The sequence below is a fragment of the Homo sapiens genome, chromosome 5 (assembly GCF_000001405.40).
Source record: "Homo sapiens chromosome 5, GRCh38.p14 Primary Assembly".
Taxonomy (NCBI): domain Eukaryota; kingdom Metazoa; phylum Chordata; class Mammalia; order Primates; family Hominidae; genus Homo; species Homo sapiens.
In genome coordinates this window covers 135616057-135633660 of record NC_000005.10, presented here as the reverse complement: position 1 = coordinate 135633660, position 17604 = coordinate 135616057, and the positions used below count along the sequence as shown (strand labels likewise).

The 17604-nt window shown below is 44.1% G+C and overlaps 1 protein-coding gene across 2 annotated transcripts in view; it reads right to left on the bottom strand.

The window, feature by feature from the left end:
• The window catches only part of SLC25A48 (solute carrier family 25 member 48), a 309466-nt gene that overhangs the window by 254977 nt on the left and 36885 nt on the right, over nucleotides 1-17604 (bottom strand). For both annotated transcript variants that reach the window (NM_001349335.2, NM_001349345.2), the window contains exon 2: nucleotides 4285-4424. The gene's annotated coding sequence lies outside the window, so the exon portion shown is untranslated. The remainder of the gene's footprint in view (nucleotides 1-4284; nucleotides 4425-17604) is intronic.

Here is a 17604-nt window from a genome sequence, read left to right as displayed (position 1 = left end):
CATGTCTACCTCAGTCTGCTTGGGCTGCCACAAGAAAGCGTGTGGCTTAAACAACAGAAATGTATTTTCTCATAGTTATGGAGCCTTGAAATCCAAAATCAAGAGACAGCATGGTTCTGGAGGGGGCTCTCTTCCTGGCTTGCAGGTGGCTGCCTTCTTGCTGTGCGCTCACATGGCCTTTCCTGGCATGTGCACTGAGAGTCAGGGGAGAGGGAGATCTTCCTCTTTTTATAAGGCCACCAACCCTATTGAATTAGGACCCCACCCTTATGACCTCAGTTACCTTAGTTACCTCCTGAAAGCCCTATCTCCAAATACAGTTACATTTGGGATTAGAGCTTCAACATATGAGTGGGGCAGGGGGACACAATTCAGTCCCTAGCAATGTCTGTGATGAGTTTCACTATGCCTCAAGCACACAGTTCTTCCAGCCCAGGCACCTTTCTCATGGGCATTGTGTCTGTGAATAAACCGTACAGCCCACTTTCTTTCAAGAAACCTATAAAAATAATATCCATCCACAGTCTGTCATCTTCCCCTTGTACAGATTGGCTGCCCTCCCCCACTTGAAATCACTATTAAACTGCAGAGATAACTGCCCGTCTTAGGGCTGCAGTCCTCCCACATAACCTGAAGCCACTGCCATTTGTCACAACAGATCATTTCTTGAACTCTGACAGCCAGCCTTGGAAGCAGGAAGCATGCTCATTTTCCTCACCCTGCCGGAGCTTCAGAAAGAACTCAGCTCAAAATAGACGCTATTGAAGCAGGAGACACATGAGGAGGTACACAGCCTATCAATACCTCAACACTGGCCTCTCCTCGCCCTCCAATCCTATTGACTGCATGAGAGCCACTGCTGAAGGCTTTGTAATCCAAAACCATTAAGTATTCATGGGGCTGGCAACCACAAATAGAAAATGAATTGGATTGCTCCCTTTCAAATTAGTATAATGACATTATCTGGGAAATGATGATTTAAAAAATAGTTCAAAACATGGGTTTGAATGTTCTTCCTACTGTTCTGCCCAGGCTCCTCTCTGTTTTTTACAATAGAGAAGAGCCCTCCTGGTGCTGTGGAGACATTCCCAAGAATGAGAGAGGCCAGAATCAACCTTGACTTTGTACACCCATTCTGTTTTCTGGCCAGAAACTAGACTTCTCCTTCCTCTGTACTTCATAATCAATCCCTGAGCATGCTAAAGTTTACCTCCTAGGTATTTCTTGACTGTGCCTCTCTTTGGCATTCCATCTAACCCTTCTTGAGTCCAGGCTACCACTCCTTCTCCCACCTGGGTAAACATATCTACCTCCTAATAGGTCGCTGTGCCTCCAGGTTCCCTTCTCTAATCCATCCTCCACATGGAAGCCTGAGTCAGTCTTCTAAGACAGCAAACTTCCTTGCCGCTTTCCTGCATGAAACCTTTTAGTGGCTCCCCATGGCCCTCAAGACAAAGCCTACGCACTGTAGTACAGAAGACAGAATCTTCTATGACCCAGTCATCTTGCTAACTCATGATGTCACCATGGATCGGGCCTCCAAAGGATGCTGCAAAAGACAATCAGGCCACATGTGTTGTCACACTGAAGTTAGCCTTACACACCTCTTTCATCCTCATCCTCAGGAGGCCAAGAACCACATAGGTAGAGGGGCTCTGAAGAAAAACAACATGGAGGCACTTGTGGGCTGACATCGTCTCAAAGACCTCCCCCTCCCCTGGGTTGGACTTCAAAAGCAGTCCTCTGCTTAACAGTGTTATAGATAAAGAGCAAAAATATACCACAGGAAGTTACACCCATTTAAATTTACACTAAAGATGGGATTGAGAAACTCTTTAAATCATGTGGCAGTCCTCCGTATAGGGATAAATTGCAAAGCAACCTCATAGAACAACATTTTAAATGAATCATCCTCAAAACAGATTCTCCCCTCTGGAGTAGCCCTGTTCCACTCTTCTGCGATTACAGTTGTCATTTTGTACAACATGAGAATGACTTTGACAGTTATGCTGATCCGGGGAGACAAAAGGGGACAAGTTGAGCAGGACAGATTAGTTCTGGAAAATTAGCCATTTGTTGGGTCACCCTGGAGCTTTCAGCTTTGAATTTGGCCTCCCAGAGCATTAAATAGGCCTGAAACCTTTCTAAAATGAGAACTATTATACTGCCAGTTGCACAGAGCAATTCTTGAGCTGCCAAACAGATGGGAGCCCTGTGAAGATAAAAGGCTGCCAATATCCCAAAGGCACAAGCCATGGCTCCGCCTCCATATCTTGGACACAAAAGTTAGAGCATAACCTGCGCACTCTGAGCCCACTTCCCAGGAAACACATCAGTCCATTAAAGGAATCCCACCATGAGGAATGCAGAGCCAATCAATACTTTGAATGAAGAAGCCCCTCTTACAGACTATTTCCTTTTCTCATTTTCCATTCTCTACTCTCCTAACCAAACCATGTCCAAAATGCTACCTGGAGAACCCCACGCTCAGCCCAGCTGACCTTTGATCATCATAAAGCTAGCCACAAAACTGTCTATTTCTCCAAAGGAAAAATGTACATGCATCTAACTCGAGGCTTTCTGCTGGAAGTTCAGGGTCGATGCAGGAAGACAAGGACTCAAAGGCTTTGGCATATTCCATGTCTTCTATCTGGTCCAACAGTGTAGAGATGATGCTGCCAGCTTCAAACAAGGCCCAGGTCCAGGAGCGTTATTGTTAAGTACCTGGGATGTGCTCATTAGAATACTGCTAAGCCTAAGGCCAGGCACGGTGGCTCATGCCTGTAATCCCAGCCCTTTGGGAGGCCAAGGCAGGCAGATCACTTGAGGTCACAAGTTCAAGACCAGCCTGGCCAACATGGTGAAACCCCATCTCTGCTAATAATACAAAAATTAGCCAGGCTTGGTGGCAGGCACCTGTAATCCCAGCTACTCAGGAGACTGAGGCAGGAGAATCACTTGAACCTGGGAGGCAAATGTTGCAGTGAGCCAAGATCACTCCACTGCACTCCAGCCTGGGAGACAGAGCATGACTCTCTCAAAAAAAAAAAAAAAAAAAAAAAAAAAAAAAAAGGTGCCCAGCCTAACCATCTTCCCCTGCTTTCATCTCTTATCCTTCCACCCTGAGCACCAGAAGAAAGAGGAATGTTTAGTTTCTAAATTTCCATCCATTGGCTTTATCCTGAAGTCCCCATCCCTGGATGCTCAAGTCAAGGATCTGCCTATTTTTGCTGGAGTATTGGTTTCCTCATCCCCATGAGAATGAGCTTAGCTATGGCAGTTTTCTCCAAACTACCCTCATGGGGCTGAGTGTTCAAGTCTCAAAGCTAAGGAAGAGATTTTTCTTAGAAAGAGCAGCAGAAGAAACCTTTCAAGGAGGCCTCCTGGGATTACAGCAGAGGCAGGAGGAAGCCAGCCAAGCCCATGTGTCTAAGGGAGTTTGCTGAGCCCAGGGGTACCCTCCAGTCCAGACAGGCTCCACATCAGCAGAAAGGTGACTATGGCCTGCCTCCCCAGAACTCTCAGTGACCTCCCATATTCTAGCTGAGCCATTCATTCCTTGGCATATGCATGATCCCTTCCTAAGCTGCGGGTAAGAACAAATCCTCCTGGTGGAAGTGAAGAGGATCATCCACTGGGTTCCCAGCAGGTGCACACAGATGGACTGATCAGATCATGAGTCTCTGGGGTCTTGTGGCAGGTACCTGTGGCAGTCACTGCTGGTGCCTTGCCCGTTTCTCCTCCTCATTCTCATGTCATGCCTGTGACTTCCAACTACTTTCGGCAAGTTCTTGATAGTTTCTGCCCTAGGGTTTTCTCTGGCCAATGGGCCCACTCAGCCCATGTGCAGAGCAGGCCAGAAGTGCTGGAGAGTTAACATGCCCTACCACTGAGAGCAACCCTCCACCCATGATGGATGGGGAGTTGAAGGATCAATGCCCCAGCTCCCTCGCTCCTTGGTTGTGATAACTGATCACATTTCACACCGTCTTCCAGAGCTGTTGAGCCTGATGCATCCTCAGGCGCCCACAGAGTCAGCCTGCTGGCTAACACATCTTTTATCGGCTTCTTTCCCTTCCATCTCTTACTTCCTCACTCCACATTCCACCCCCACCTCCCAGGGTCTCTTGGGATTAGAGGCCAAGTCTATGTGGCTCCAAAGCCCAAGATCGTTTATAACACCAGGCTGACAACCACCCCCAACCCCTGTGTACCCAACTGCCTCTCAGGGGCAGCCAACAAAGTGGGGCACTGTGGGGTCCTGTGCTCAGGGCCCACACTGACCTGTGAGACCACAACTTAGCCACAGGTGCTGCGTTCCTGGCATTCCATGCCTGTTTTCTGCATTCCCAACCCAGGTGTTTGGCTGTACATCCAACGTCCAGCAGGGTTTTTTTCCTCCTTTCTTTCTTTAAGCTGGGCTGCTAAAAAAGAAAAAGAAAAAAGAAAAAGGCTATAACGGTGGAGATTCTGGCACTGGATGACACTTCAGGGCCATTCTAGCCCTGAATTTCTGTGAAATGATCCACAGCAGCCCAAGGCAAAATTGGATCTATAATGAAATTTCTCCTCCTTAAAAAGTCACAGTTTAATGGCTGTTCTAACTGCTGGGGAATTTATGAAAAGGGACTGTAGCCTAATTCTGGAAATTAACCTAGCACCAGCTGCAGCTTCCTGGCCCCAGTGCTGTGGACATATATCCTTGTCTTCACACATATGCTCATCTGGACATGGGGTGGCCTCAGGGGTCTGAGACATGCAAGATGAAATCCCACAAATCTCCATTATTAAATCCATGATGTATTTCGAATCCCGCCCTCCATCTTGGTAATGACGCCTCTGACATCCCTCCAAAATAGGAGGGAGGGAGGACAGGTGGGAATGAAAGAGGGAGAGAGGCTCCTCTTGTATTTGTCCTATATCTACCATCTCTGTTCTGCCATATTCCTGGGTGTGGTGAAGGCGTTTCCATCCTCTAAGACAGGTCTCCTCATGCTCAGAGACAGAGACTGCTGAAGACACTGCCATCCATTGACTGATGTAAATCTGCCCAACGTCACCTCCCTTTGGACCCATATCCTCAGGCTGCCTTACACTAATCCAGATCTACTGGGATGATCTCTCCAGAAGACCTCTGGAACCCAAACTTGATGTCACCCGTCTTCTGTTCTTCTCTCCTCCAACAACTTACCTTTTCCCCTCTCCATGAGCAGATATATGGAAAGCCCCCTAAATCCCAAGTAGAGTCCATCAGAGGATAACCCAGCCTTAGAAAGGGACCTTCAAGATATTCTGCATTTGCCTAAAACCTCCGAGGGATTCTCCCCAGGTTCCTCGGGGTGTAAATTGACCCCCTTCTGTAGTTGTAGCACCTCCACGAAAAGGTTTTTGGAGTCTTTACTAAGGCATAGATGGGCAATTGGGAAATTTGCAGTTATTCAGAGAAATTTGGAGTCTTAGACTCCACATCTAATCCCAGAATGTCTTTTATGAGTATCACCCCTACAAGCACCTCCCCAGATCCTACCCATCCTTCAAACCCAGCCAAATGTCACCTTCTCTAGAAGAGAAGCCAAATTCCTTGTGTCAAAGGAGGCTTCCCTCTCCAACTTCCCTGAGCCACCCTCCTCAGGTGGTGCCTCACATCACCCTCACCTGTGTGCATGCCTCAGCATTCTCAGTGTGCAGGGGGTTCATGGTGGGCAGGGCCTGTATCCTTCATCTCAGGCCCCAGTCCCCACCCCCAACCATGCATAGAGTCTTTTTGCTGAGAAGAGTTGCTCCACAAATGTTAAAGGAGGGAGGTGGGTAAAGAAATAAATTTCAGGTCCCACTCCATGACAGGAGTGACCATGGGAGGGCATTCATGATGCCCTCCTCTCCTAACATGAACACTAAAATACCTGTATATGCACATGCAGTAATAATAGGACTGGGTGACTATACCACCAGTGGCTCACTGCAGCAAATGCTGACTCCTCAGCAAAATGGAGATGGGAGAGAAATAAAGGAGGAGAGATGAGGAAGAGGGAAGGAGAGTCCTTGTACCAGTCAGGGTCCAGTCAAAAAACCATGAAGTACTTTAATGAAGGGTTTTAAGATAAGAAACAAGTTCCAGAGTATTGGAAGAGCAGAAAGACCACACGGGGAAAGAGGAGGCAACCCAGAGCTTAGCACTAGCAGGAATCCGCCACCACTTCTAGGATCGAAGGTCAAAGGAAAGAGGTAGCATTACTAGAGCCCAGGAGGCAGAATCATAGTCATGACCTGGGCCCACAGATTGAGAGAGAGGGGCTGGCCATGGATAATAGAACCACAGTGAGGATGCAGCCATTGTCCTAGACACTGCCCCAAACAGACATGAGGAGAAATACCCTGCTTCTTCCTTCCTCCCACCCTCCAGTCTCCCATTGGTGCCTCCTATTGGCCCAACATAGACAGAAATCAGAGGCAAGGGGGCCTGAGAAATGTTAGCTCGAGCAGTCAGCCACCCCATGGGGCAGAGAGAGCAGGGCCTGACATGGATCTGAGCAGCAGCAGTCCAAGGACCAATACTCTTCTTTCATTTCTCCCACAATAAGCACCTCCCTCCCTCTGCGTGATCCTGGGCTCTCCTTTTTTCACAGATGGGCTCCTTTCTCCCCAGGCTCCCACCTCCTGTGCCAAGCCAGGCCATAAGTGGGGCTACTTCTATGGGTCTGTTGCAAGAAGGCAACCAGCAGGCCAAGGTGGGTGGCTGGCTGGACCCTGGATGGTCAGTCACTGATCAAGGAGCATCGGAAGGTCTGGCCTGGACAATCTGGGACTGAGGGCAGTGCAGGCAAAAATCACCCAAACTTGGCAATATGTCCAGGGGAATTTGGAACTCCCAGCTCTCACACCCCACCCCCTACATTCCAATGGGCCCATAAAGCCAGCTCTCTCAGGATGATATAGTCGACCTGAACTTTCAGAACTTGCTAGGATGCATAGATTGGGGCATTACCCTCTAATTCATTCTGAAGAGAAGCACCGAAGTGGTTTGTCCACATTAAAGAGGAATTAGGAAGCCTGCTTTGCAGAAACACACATGTATGCAAGCACACACACACACAGACACACACTTATGCACACACATATATGCTGGAATTCTCTGGATGTTTCCCCAAAGTTCTCCTTAAAATGGATTCTTCTTTTCCCCTGGATAAGCCAAGGCTTTGGCTTGAGGGCTCAATGTTCTAATATTAAAAAGCCTCTGTTCACCAGAAACACACATTAAAACCTGGGAGCCAGTAATGCTGAAAACAACTGACTCTGACATTTAAGCAGAGGTCACGCACCCATGGATGTTTATAGGACAAAATGGAAGAAATCCCACTTTGCAGAAAAACAGCTGGGTGTGGAAAAACATTGTTTATACTTGAGCATCTGCCTCAGGAATTTGTCACTTTAAATAAGCTCATTGCCACCCACCTTGTCCAAACATTCATCAGAGAATGGAAAAGGGGAGTGAAGGCAGGCAGGACTGACCATGCAGACTCAGGCCCTTGGCGTCCCAGCCTCGCCATGCTGAGTTGGCCTACCCTGACCCCTGTCCTACCCCATTGTCCTGAGGTTTATTTCATCAGGTTCAGCCTGGGTTTTAGGGCCTGCTGTTGACTTTTGGAGAGCACAGGGGGTGCCCAAACACAGGAGATGGGGCAGTGGTGGCCACTTAGCTCATCTAGAGGAAGTCATTCTTGGGGTCTGGAGATACCTACAGGAGAGATTTACTGAACTGGCTGCATTCCCAGAATGTGTCCACTCCTGCCCCTTACCAGGATGTGAAGGTTGACCCAGTGGGACTCTGAGGGTCTCCTTCCTGGTTGTTGTCATAGCCAGCACTATAGGAGAGAGTCTAGGGTGGTTTGTCTCCTGCATTCTTGCTTCTCCTATCAATGACCTTCTTCCCCCTGTTCTACCTGGGGGCACCTCAGAAGGCCTTAAAAACACCCAAAAATCCCAGACACCATCAAGCCTGCCACAAGGAATCTTGGGAGCAGATGCATACCAAATAGGAAACTAAACCTTAAGCCCCAGAGCTAACTCCCGAGTGAGACTGCAGAGGTAGGCAATCCATGTTGGGCTCTGGCAGTCCTCCTCTTCTACCCAGAGGGCCACATCATGTCCCACAGAGTCTGTGGGAGTGCAGCCATCTAGGTGTGGATGAGAAGGACCCTGACCAAGAGCTCTAGAAACAAGTTCACCTCTCAGTGAGGAACTGTGACTTCCTCCAGTCCCAAGGAGGGACTGCCCATCTTGCTAGCCACATCTCTTCTGTCCCCACTCCTCCACTTCATGCCCCTCATCTGTTCTCAGGGCCCCTCCATCTTCACAGCACACAGTGGAGGCTCTCTGGTGCTGTGCAGCCTCTGTGCCTGTGCCCATGCCTTTTGTCCTCCTGCAGGACTCTTCCCCACCCAGAAAACCCTTCCCTTCAGGGACCAGGTTAACCGTCACTTCTTCTGGGAGGCCTTTCCTCATCTCACCCTCACCTATCAGGGCTGCACCCTTCCCCAAATCAGGGAAACCGCTCCTTCTTCTGATTGCCATGGCTGCTATGGCCCTTGTCTTGAAAAAAAGACAGTGAGGACCTCTGAGCACATGGCTCATCCTTCTCCCCTGTGACAGAGAGCCCCACAAGGACAGGGATCAGAATATGTTGCCAGCCCTGGGCCTGGCACAGTGATATTCCACAACTCAGTTCACATACAGAGAAGGAAACCACATCACTTCATTGTATTAGCAATGCTTTGTCACCAGATTGGGATCGACAGTGTTCCACAAATCGGATCTGTTGGCCATAGACATAAAAGCAAACTTCTCCATCGTCTGATCCAGCCAAGAAAATGCCAAGCCAGCCACACCAGCCAAAAACAATCACTGTCTTTTCTATGTATCTACAGACTCAAACGCGCTTCAAACAAGCACCAACTTTTGATAAAGTTCCTCTGGGTTTGGACTAATTTAAGGGGTTCCCCACCTTGCCAGTACTCATTTAAGAAGACCCATAAAAACAGACAAATCAGGAAGGCATATTCATTTTACAAGAGGCAGGCATAGAATCCCAGTTCCCTTGGAACAGCATTTGCCAAACAGTCATTCTCACACCATTGTTGCAATTTTTCTGCCATCATCTATTTACCATCTACACTATTATTTATTTTATATTTATTTTCCATATTAACATGAAAATGACTCTCTTTTACTTAGTTTTACTCATTCAATGCATTTTATTTTTCTTAACATCCACTAACCCAAACACAAAACAATTGACATTTCTAAGTTTGTATAGAACCTAAAATATTTTTGCCTCTCCATTAGGTCCTGCATGTCCCACTTGTGGGTAGCCCCGGTTTGCTCGCCTGCCTCTAGATGCTCTGGGACGGAAATGTCAACACTGTGCCCCACCCCATCACTGCGCTATGGTTCCCAGGTTCTCAGGATGCCTCATCCACCCTGCCCAACAACTCTCAAGCACCCAGCTAAGGAGGTAACGGTGATCAGAAGCTGCAAACACTAGAAGGCTGAAGACAGAAAGGCAAACCAGGCTTTGTGCTCATTTCATGGAACAACCACACCAACCCCCCGCTCCCACCCGTGATTTCCATCCCCAGAGCCTCTCCTACTGACAAGAGAAGCAGCACAGGGAGCCCTTTCTTACAGAGATCCAAGAGCTGTAAGCTCTGTGAAGGTGAGGCTGGAGAGCCTTGCCATTCCTCATGAGGTACCCGGGGGGACAGAGGCCATAGCAACAGCAGCAGCAGTAATAATGATGACAACCTGTGTTCTCAGAAGTCTTGCTGCACAGGTCAGGCATATTTTGTACAGCACCTGGCACCACACACTGTTGAGTGATAGCTAAATTTCTGCAAGGTTAGGGAGAACAGAAAGGCCACAATCATGATAAACATGATTTCCTGGGTGTCTCCTCTGTGTAAGGCTGGGATAAACACTTGCATACATTTGCTTATTTAAGCCTCACATGGCCCTTTAAGGTACTATTACCAATGGGGAACGTGTTTATAGAAGGGCAGCCTGAGGCTCAGACTACTGAAGTGAAGGGACAAGCCTGAGGTCAGGTGGAGCCTTCATGTTTGAACAACAAGAGGAGTCCATACCCAATTTATATGGCTCCAACACCCCTGAGCCTTCCACTGCTTTCCCAAACCTGACTGAGACCAACCTTCCCCAGACATGTTGGTATCCTCAGGCAGATGCTATCATCCATTTGGAATGGCCAAGAGCCTTGAGCACCATGCCGATGGGGAAACACCTGTCTTCAGAATTCCCCACCAGCTGTCTTGGCCAGTGAGCAACCAGGATCCTGGAGCTAGGTAAGGCACTAAAATGGGGAGTTAAGAGGAGACAAAGCTTAGCCAGGGAATTGTATCAGCAACCTCAGGGCTTCCCAAGAGCAAACTCTTTATGCTAAAAGTCTCATACTAGAGTCTTTATACTAAAATTCTTCCTTTCAAAGCAACAAACCAAGAAGGGATGTCCATGCACCATCCCCCTTTGCTGGAGCAGCATGTTTATAGGTAGCTAACAGGATGGAGAGGTGCCTTAGCATACAGATTTCATTTGCGCCCAGTGGAGGGGAGTCTGCAGTGCAGGTTGACTCAGAAGGGGTTTCAGCTGCTCTGAGAAGCTCTGGTGCCCTCCAAGCCCCCGCATATTCAGCCCTCATCCTGCCCATCCATCCTCATGGCCCCTGCTCCTCACATAATCAGATTCTAACGTAGCCATTCAGCTTCACTGATCTATTAAATCCAGAAACACAGTCTTTTTATTATTACCATTTTAAAGTAACATTTATTTCAGAATCTCTTGGCCAGTCTCATCTGTTTTATTATCTTTTAATTAACATGTTATCATTACAAATGTAATACATGTACATCGCACAAAATTGGAAAATAAAAAATGTGTAAAGAACATAAAATTGCTCAAATCTAATCATCCTGATGTAAACACCATTAACATATGATATACATTTTTTCTTCTTTCCATCTTTTCTCTATGTCTCTGATTATTTTTAATTAAAAAAATGAATCATGCTATATATAGCTTATATCCTGGTGTTTTCACTTAATACATTATGAGCATTTTCTCATGTCATTTAATGACAGGATTCTTCAAAAACATGATTTCTAATGACCACAGAGTATTCATCATATGGATGGGCCATGATTTAGTTAACTATTACCATATTGTTGGACATTTCAGCTGTTTCCAATTTTTTCTATTAAAATAATGCTACAACAAATATCTGCACAGGTATATAAGTCTATATGTGAATCTCTGATTCTTCTTCAGGATAAATTTAGAGAAGATGAATGGACTGGTCCATAAGTATAAATATTTTTCAGGCTCTTGATATAAGCATTTCAGAAAGTTTGTTCAAAGTACCCACCCATCCCCTGAATATCAAAGTGCCCACTTCACTCTGTCCTCAGTATCACTGGATCTTCTAATTCTTCAAGTACTTTTCCTCTGGAAATATGAAAAATGATATATTGTTTTATTGTGCATTTTTTGACTGTCAGTGAAGTCTGGCATTTTTCCATATGCTTCTTGGCCTTCTCCGTTCTTCTTTTATGGTTTGGTTATTTATGTCCTTTGCCCTTTTTTCTATCATGCTTTTATATTTTTCTTATTGAACTATACAAGATCTTATATAAACATGAAAGATAATGTAAATATTCCTTTATATTGTCTTCTGGCTTTAAGGTGGTAATTTTGACATTTATTCCTTAATTCACCTGGAATGTATTTTAATATATGGTATATGACAGCAGTTCTCACACTTTAATGAGAACTAGATTCTCTACTCTGTACTCTGGGGTGGAGCTTGGGAACCTAAATTTTAATAAGTGCTCCCAGGAATTCTGATGCCTGTAAACACCTTTGAAAAACACCGATATAGTGAAAGAACCTAATTTTTTTTTTTAGTAGTGGATGAATTGCCTTAGTATATTTATCAAATAACCCTTCCTTACCAATTGCTGTAAAATGCTGAATAATAAACTACATTCCTATATCCCACTTGAGTCTGTTCTTAAGCTTTATTCTATTCCATTGATTTGTCTTTCAATTTTTGTGCCAGAACTATTATTTTATTATTATTAAGGCCTTGGAATACACATATCTGGACATAGAAATACTCCTACAACTCTTATTTTTCAAAATTTTCTTGACCATTCTTACCAATTTGTTAATTACTAGATAACCTTTGTAACATTTCTCCCAAAAATCCTTTTAGAATTTTGTTTGATATTCCCATAAACTGAAAACATAATTTAGAAAAATTAGTATCAAAATGACAGCTACTATCTACTGAGCCATTTCCATGTAGCAGGTACTGCTCTAGGCCCTTCACACATATTAACTCACAGAAACCTTGTAGATGGGAAAGTTGAGGCCCAGAGATATTTAGCAATTTAACCAAGATTACACATCCAGTAAGTAGTAAAGCTGGCACTTGGATCCAGTTAACTATAGCACTTTTCCTCTTGGCAGCATGCAGCCCTGTTTGTCACATACATTCAAAATACTCAGTCCTAGAAGGGGCTTCAAGATGGCTGACTAGATGCATCTTACACAAAGAGGAACCAAAATAGCATGTAGATAATCAAACTTTGAATAGATCATCTGGAAGGAGAAGGAAGGGAGGTAGCCTGCTTAGCTGGGATTTGCCATGAGTCTGGAGAGGCTCCCTAACGCGGGGAAGGGGTAAGAGAGAGATCTCCAGCAGTCCAGATTCCCACTACACATCTACAATCCTAGCCATGGGAGAGCCCCTCAACTCTCGCAGCCCCAAGTATGACATTTGGAGCACCCTGGAGACTGCATTGCTCTAGAGAGGGAGCTCACACTGATTTTCACACACCTTGGAGTTCGAAGCAGCTGCAGCACAATGCCATTTTAAGAGCCTAGCTCCCACTAGACTGTGTCCTGTCCTGCCACTGGGCTGAGGTGAGAGTCAGGAGCAACAACCCCACTCCCCAAGCAGAGGAGTGGCCATGCATTTTCTCATGTCCCAAGGACAAATTCCCCTGCCTGCAATTACCACCTGCAGTCTGCTGCGGGGCTGAAGTATGAGTAAAGATTGCAACCCCCTATGAAAGCTTCCAATCTTGGGTGCTTCCAGAAAAAGCAACCCTGCTCTCCCCAGTAGCAGGACTAGGACTAAACACGGACACTGCTGCCCTACCTGTGCATGCTTATAGCCTGGGGATCACCCTGCCCCTGACTACTGAAGTCAGCACCCATATATACCACTGGGTGGCCCGAAGGAAGGTCTGCCCAGCTCAGCTCCATCCCCATGACACCCAAGCATACCATCCAGGGGTCTGGGGATTGCCCAGCCTAGCCCACCACCAGTGACATCTGAGGACTTCTCCTGGGGTCTGAAGTCAGGTCCAATCAACCTACTGCCACCAACATAGTGGGCAGCCACCCACATGCATCACCTGTGGCTCTGGGGACCTACCTGTCCAAGCTGTCAGAACTATGCCAATATAAACATGGACTGCTGGGGTCCCAGAAGGTTGTCTGACCACTGCTATTGCCATCGCTCATGCCACTCCTGCTGCCCAGGGGCACAAGAGCCCACCTACCTGCCCAACCTACTTCTGTTGCCATTTCTGGCACCCAAGCAAGCCACCTGGAGGCCCAAGAATGGGCCTGCCTGGACTAACATCAAATCCAGTGAACATCATTGTGGGACCCAAGGACAGGCATACTCAGCCAAATGATACCACCTCAGGTCCCCAAAGTATGGCCCACTTGGCATCCCAGTCCCTCAAAAAATCTTCACCATAGCCTCCCCTAACAACCATACCCCAAGCCACCAAGAAAATCATAGACACCACTGACACTGTTTACAGCTAATAAATCACATACAGACTACAGTATTGAACACACCCAGAATCAAAGCCAAAGTACGCTACCCAATGAACAGCATAGATGCATCTTCAGGAAACAGTTGTCCCCTATGAAAGCAAATTCAAAACATTGGAAGAAGTGACTGTGACACCATGTCACCATATCTGCAGATATCAACATAAGGGCACAAGAAACATGAAAAAGAAAGGAAACACAATACTGCCAAAAGAACCACCACAACTCTCCACCAACAGATTCCAATCAAAAAGAAATTTATGAAATCCCAGCTAAAGAATTCAAAATAATGTTACTAAAGAAGTTCAGTGAGATACAAGATAATTCAGAAAAATAAGGTATGAAAGAGAAATTTACCAAAAAGCTAGATATCACAAAAAAAGAACCAAATAGAAATTCTGGAACTGAAGGATTCACTAAATGAAATACAAAATACATTTGAAAGCTTTGATAACAGATTAGATCAAACAGAAGAAAGAAACTCAGAACATGAAGACAGGTGTTTTAAAATAATCCAGTCAAACAAAAATTTTAAAAGAAAAAGAATTTTAAAAGAATGAGGAACAAAGTGTTTGTGACACATAAAACATCATAAAGTGACCAAATATTCATAGTTTTGGTGTCCCAGAAGGTGAAAAGAAAACAAAAGAGTTATAAAATTTGTTAAATAAAGCAAAAGATGAAAATATCTCAAGTCTAGCCAGAGATTTAGTCATCCAGATACAGGAAGTTCAGATTTCCCTAAAATAAACAAAATTCAAAAAGGTTTTTACCATGGCATATTTTAGTGAAACTGTTGAAAATCAAAGACAGAGAAATTCTAAAAAAAAAAAAGAGAAAGGCATCTAGTCATCTATCAATGAACCCCTATCAGACTAACAGAAGATTTCTCAGAAGAAACCTTACAGGCCAGGAGAGAATGATATAATATATTCAAAGTGCTAAAAGAAAGAAACTACAACTCAAGTATACTATACCCAGAAAAATTTTCCTTCATAAATGAAGGAGAGATTAAGTCTTTCCCAGACAAGCAAATGCTGAGGAAATTCATCACCACTGGACCAGCTCTACAAGAAATGCTTGAAAGAGTCCTACACCCAGAGGAGAAAGAACAATAACTACCATCATGAAAACATAAAAACCACTGGTAGAGCAAATACAACATACAAACAAAGAAAAGAAAAAACTTAAATGTAAACACTACAGAACACCATCAAACCACAATGATAAACAATAAGAGAGAAAGAAAGGAACAAAGGACATACAAAACAACCAGAAATCAACTTTTTAAATAACAGGAATAAGCCCTCACATATCAAAAATAACCTTGAATGTAAGCAGATTAGCTTTACACTTAAAAGATAGAGATTGGCTGAAATATAAAAAAAAATGATCCACCTATTTTCTGCCTGCTAAAAACTCTTCTCACCTATAAGGACACAGATAGACTGAAAATAAGGGAATGGAATAAGATATTCAATGCAAATAGAAACCAAAAGTAAGTAGGAATAGCTATACTTATATCAGATAAAACAGACTTTAAGTCAAAAACAGTAAAAATAGACAAAGAAGGTCATTGTATGATAAAGGGATAAATTCAGTAAGAGGATATAGCAATTCTAAATATATATCCACTCAACACTGGGGCACACAGATATTTGAAGCAAAAATTATTAGATCTAAAGGGATAGACAGACTTCAATACAATAATACTTGGGCGACAAATCCCACTCTAAGCATTAAACACATCATCTAGACAGAAAACTAGCAAAGAAACATCAAACTTAAACTGCATATTAGACCAAATGGAGCCAAGAGAAATTTAAAGAACATTCTCCTCATCAGCACACAGAACATTCTAGATAATAAATCATACGTTAGGGCACAAAACAAGTCTCAAAAAACTTTTTTTAAAACCAAAATCATATCAAGTATCTTTTCAGACCACAGTGGAAATCAGTGACAAGAGGAACTTTGGAAACTGTACAAATACATTAAAATTAAACAGCATGCCCCTGAATGACCACTGGGTCAAGGAAGAAATTAAAGAGAAAATTTAAAAAAAAACTGTTGAAACAAATGAAAGTCAAAATACAACATACTAAAACCTACAGGATATAGCAAAAGCAGTGCTAACAGGGAAGTTTACAGCAATAGATGAGTACCTCAAAAAAGTAGAAAGATTTCAAATAATCTAATGGTAAACCTCAACTAACCAAAAATGGAAGATAAAACCAAACCGAGAATTAGTAGAAGAAAAGAAATAATAAAGATAAGAGCAGAACTGAACAAAATAGAGACTAAAAAATACAAAGAATAAATGAAATAAAAAGTCATTTTATTAAAAACAAATAAACAAAATTGATATATCACTTGCTACAGTAACCTAGAAGAAAAGAGAAGACCCCAATATACAAAATCTGAAATAGAAAGGAGACATTACAACTCATACCACATAAATACAAAAGATCATCAGAGAATATTATGAACAACTATATATTGACAAACTAGAATACCTAGAGGAAATGGATACATTCCTTGACACACACTGCCTACCAAGATTGAATCTGAAAGAAATAGAAAACCTGAACAGACCAGTAATGAATAATGAGATTCAATCAGTAATAAAATGTCTCCCAACAAAGAATAGTTTAGGATTGGATGCCTTTATTGATTAATTCTACCAAATTTTCAAAGAAGAAATAACACCAATTATCCTCTAACTATTCCAAAAAATTAAAAAAGAGGAAATTCTTCCTAACTCATTCTATGAGGCCAACATTACCCTGATACCAAAACCAGATAAGGACACAACAAAAAAGTAAACTACAGGTCATATCCCTGATGAACATAGAAATAAAACTTCTTAACAAAATACTAGCAAACCAAATCCAACAGCACATCAAAAAAGTAATATACTATTGTATTAGTTCGTTCTCCCACAAATCCAAACCATATCATTCCACTCTGACCCCTCCCAAATCTCATGTTCTCCTCACATTGCAAAATACAATAATCCCTTTTCAACAGTTCTCCAAGTCTTGAATCATTTCAGCATTAATTCAAAATTCCACAGTCCAAAGTCTCATCTGAGACAAGGCAAGTCCCTTCTGTCTATGAGCCTGTAAAATCAAAAACAAGTTAGTTACTTCCAAGATACAATGGTGGTACAAGCATTGGGTAAGTGCTCCCATTCCAAAAGGGAGAAATCAGCCAAAAGAAAGGGGCTACAGTTTGAAACATGCAAGTTTGAAACACACCAGGGCAGTCATTAAATCTTAAAGCTCCAAAATAATCTCCTTTGACTCCATGTCTCACATCCAGGCTACACTGATGCAAGGAGTATTTTCCCAAGGCCTTGGGCAGCTCTGTTCCTGTGGTTCTGCAGGGCTCAGTGTCCATGGCTGCTCTCAAGAGCTGGCACTGAGTGTCTGCAGCTTTTCCAGGTGCACGGTACAAGCTGTCAGTGTGGCTTCCATTCTGGGGTCTGGAGGGCGGTGAAACTCCTTTCACAGCCCCACTAGGTAGTCCCCCAATGGAAACTCCATGTGGGAGCTCCAACCCCATATTTCCCCTCTGCATTGCCTTAGTAGAGGTACTCCATGAGGGCTCTGCCCCTGCGACAGTCTTCTGCCTGGACATTTAGGCTTTTCCATACATCTTCAGAAATCTAGGCAGAGGCTC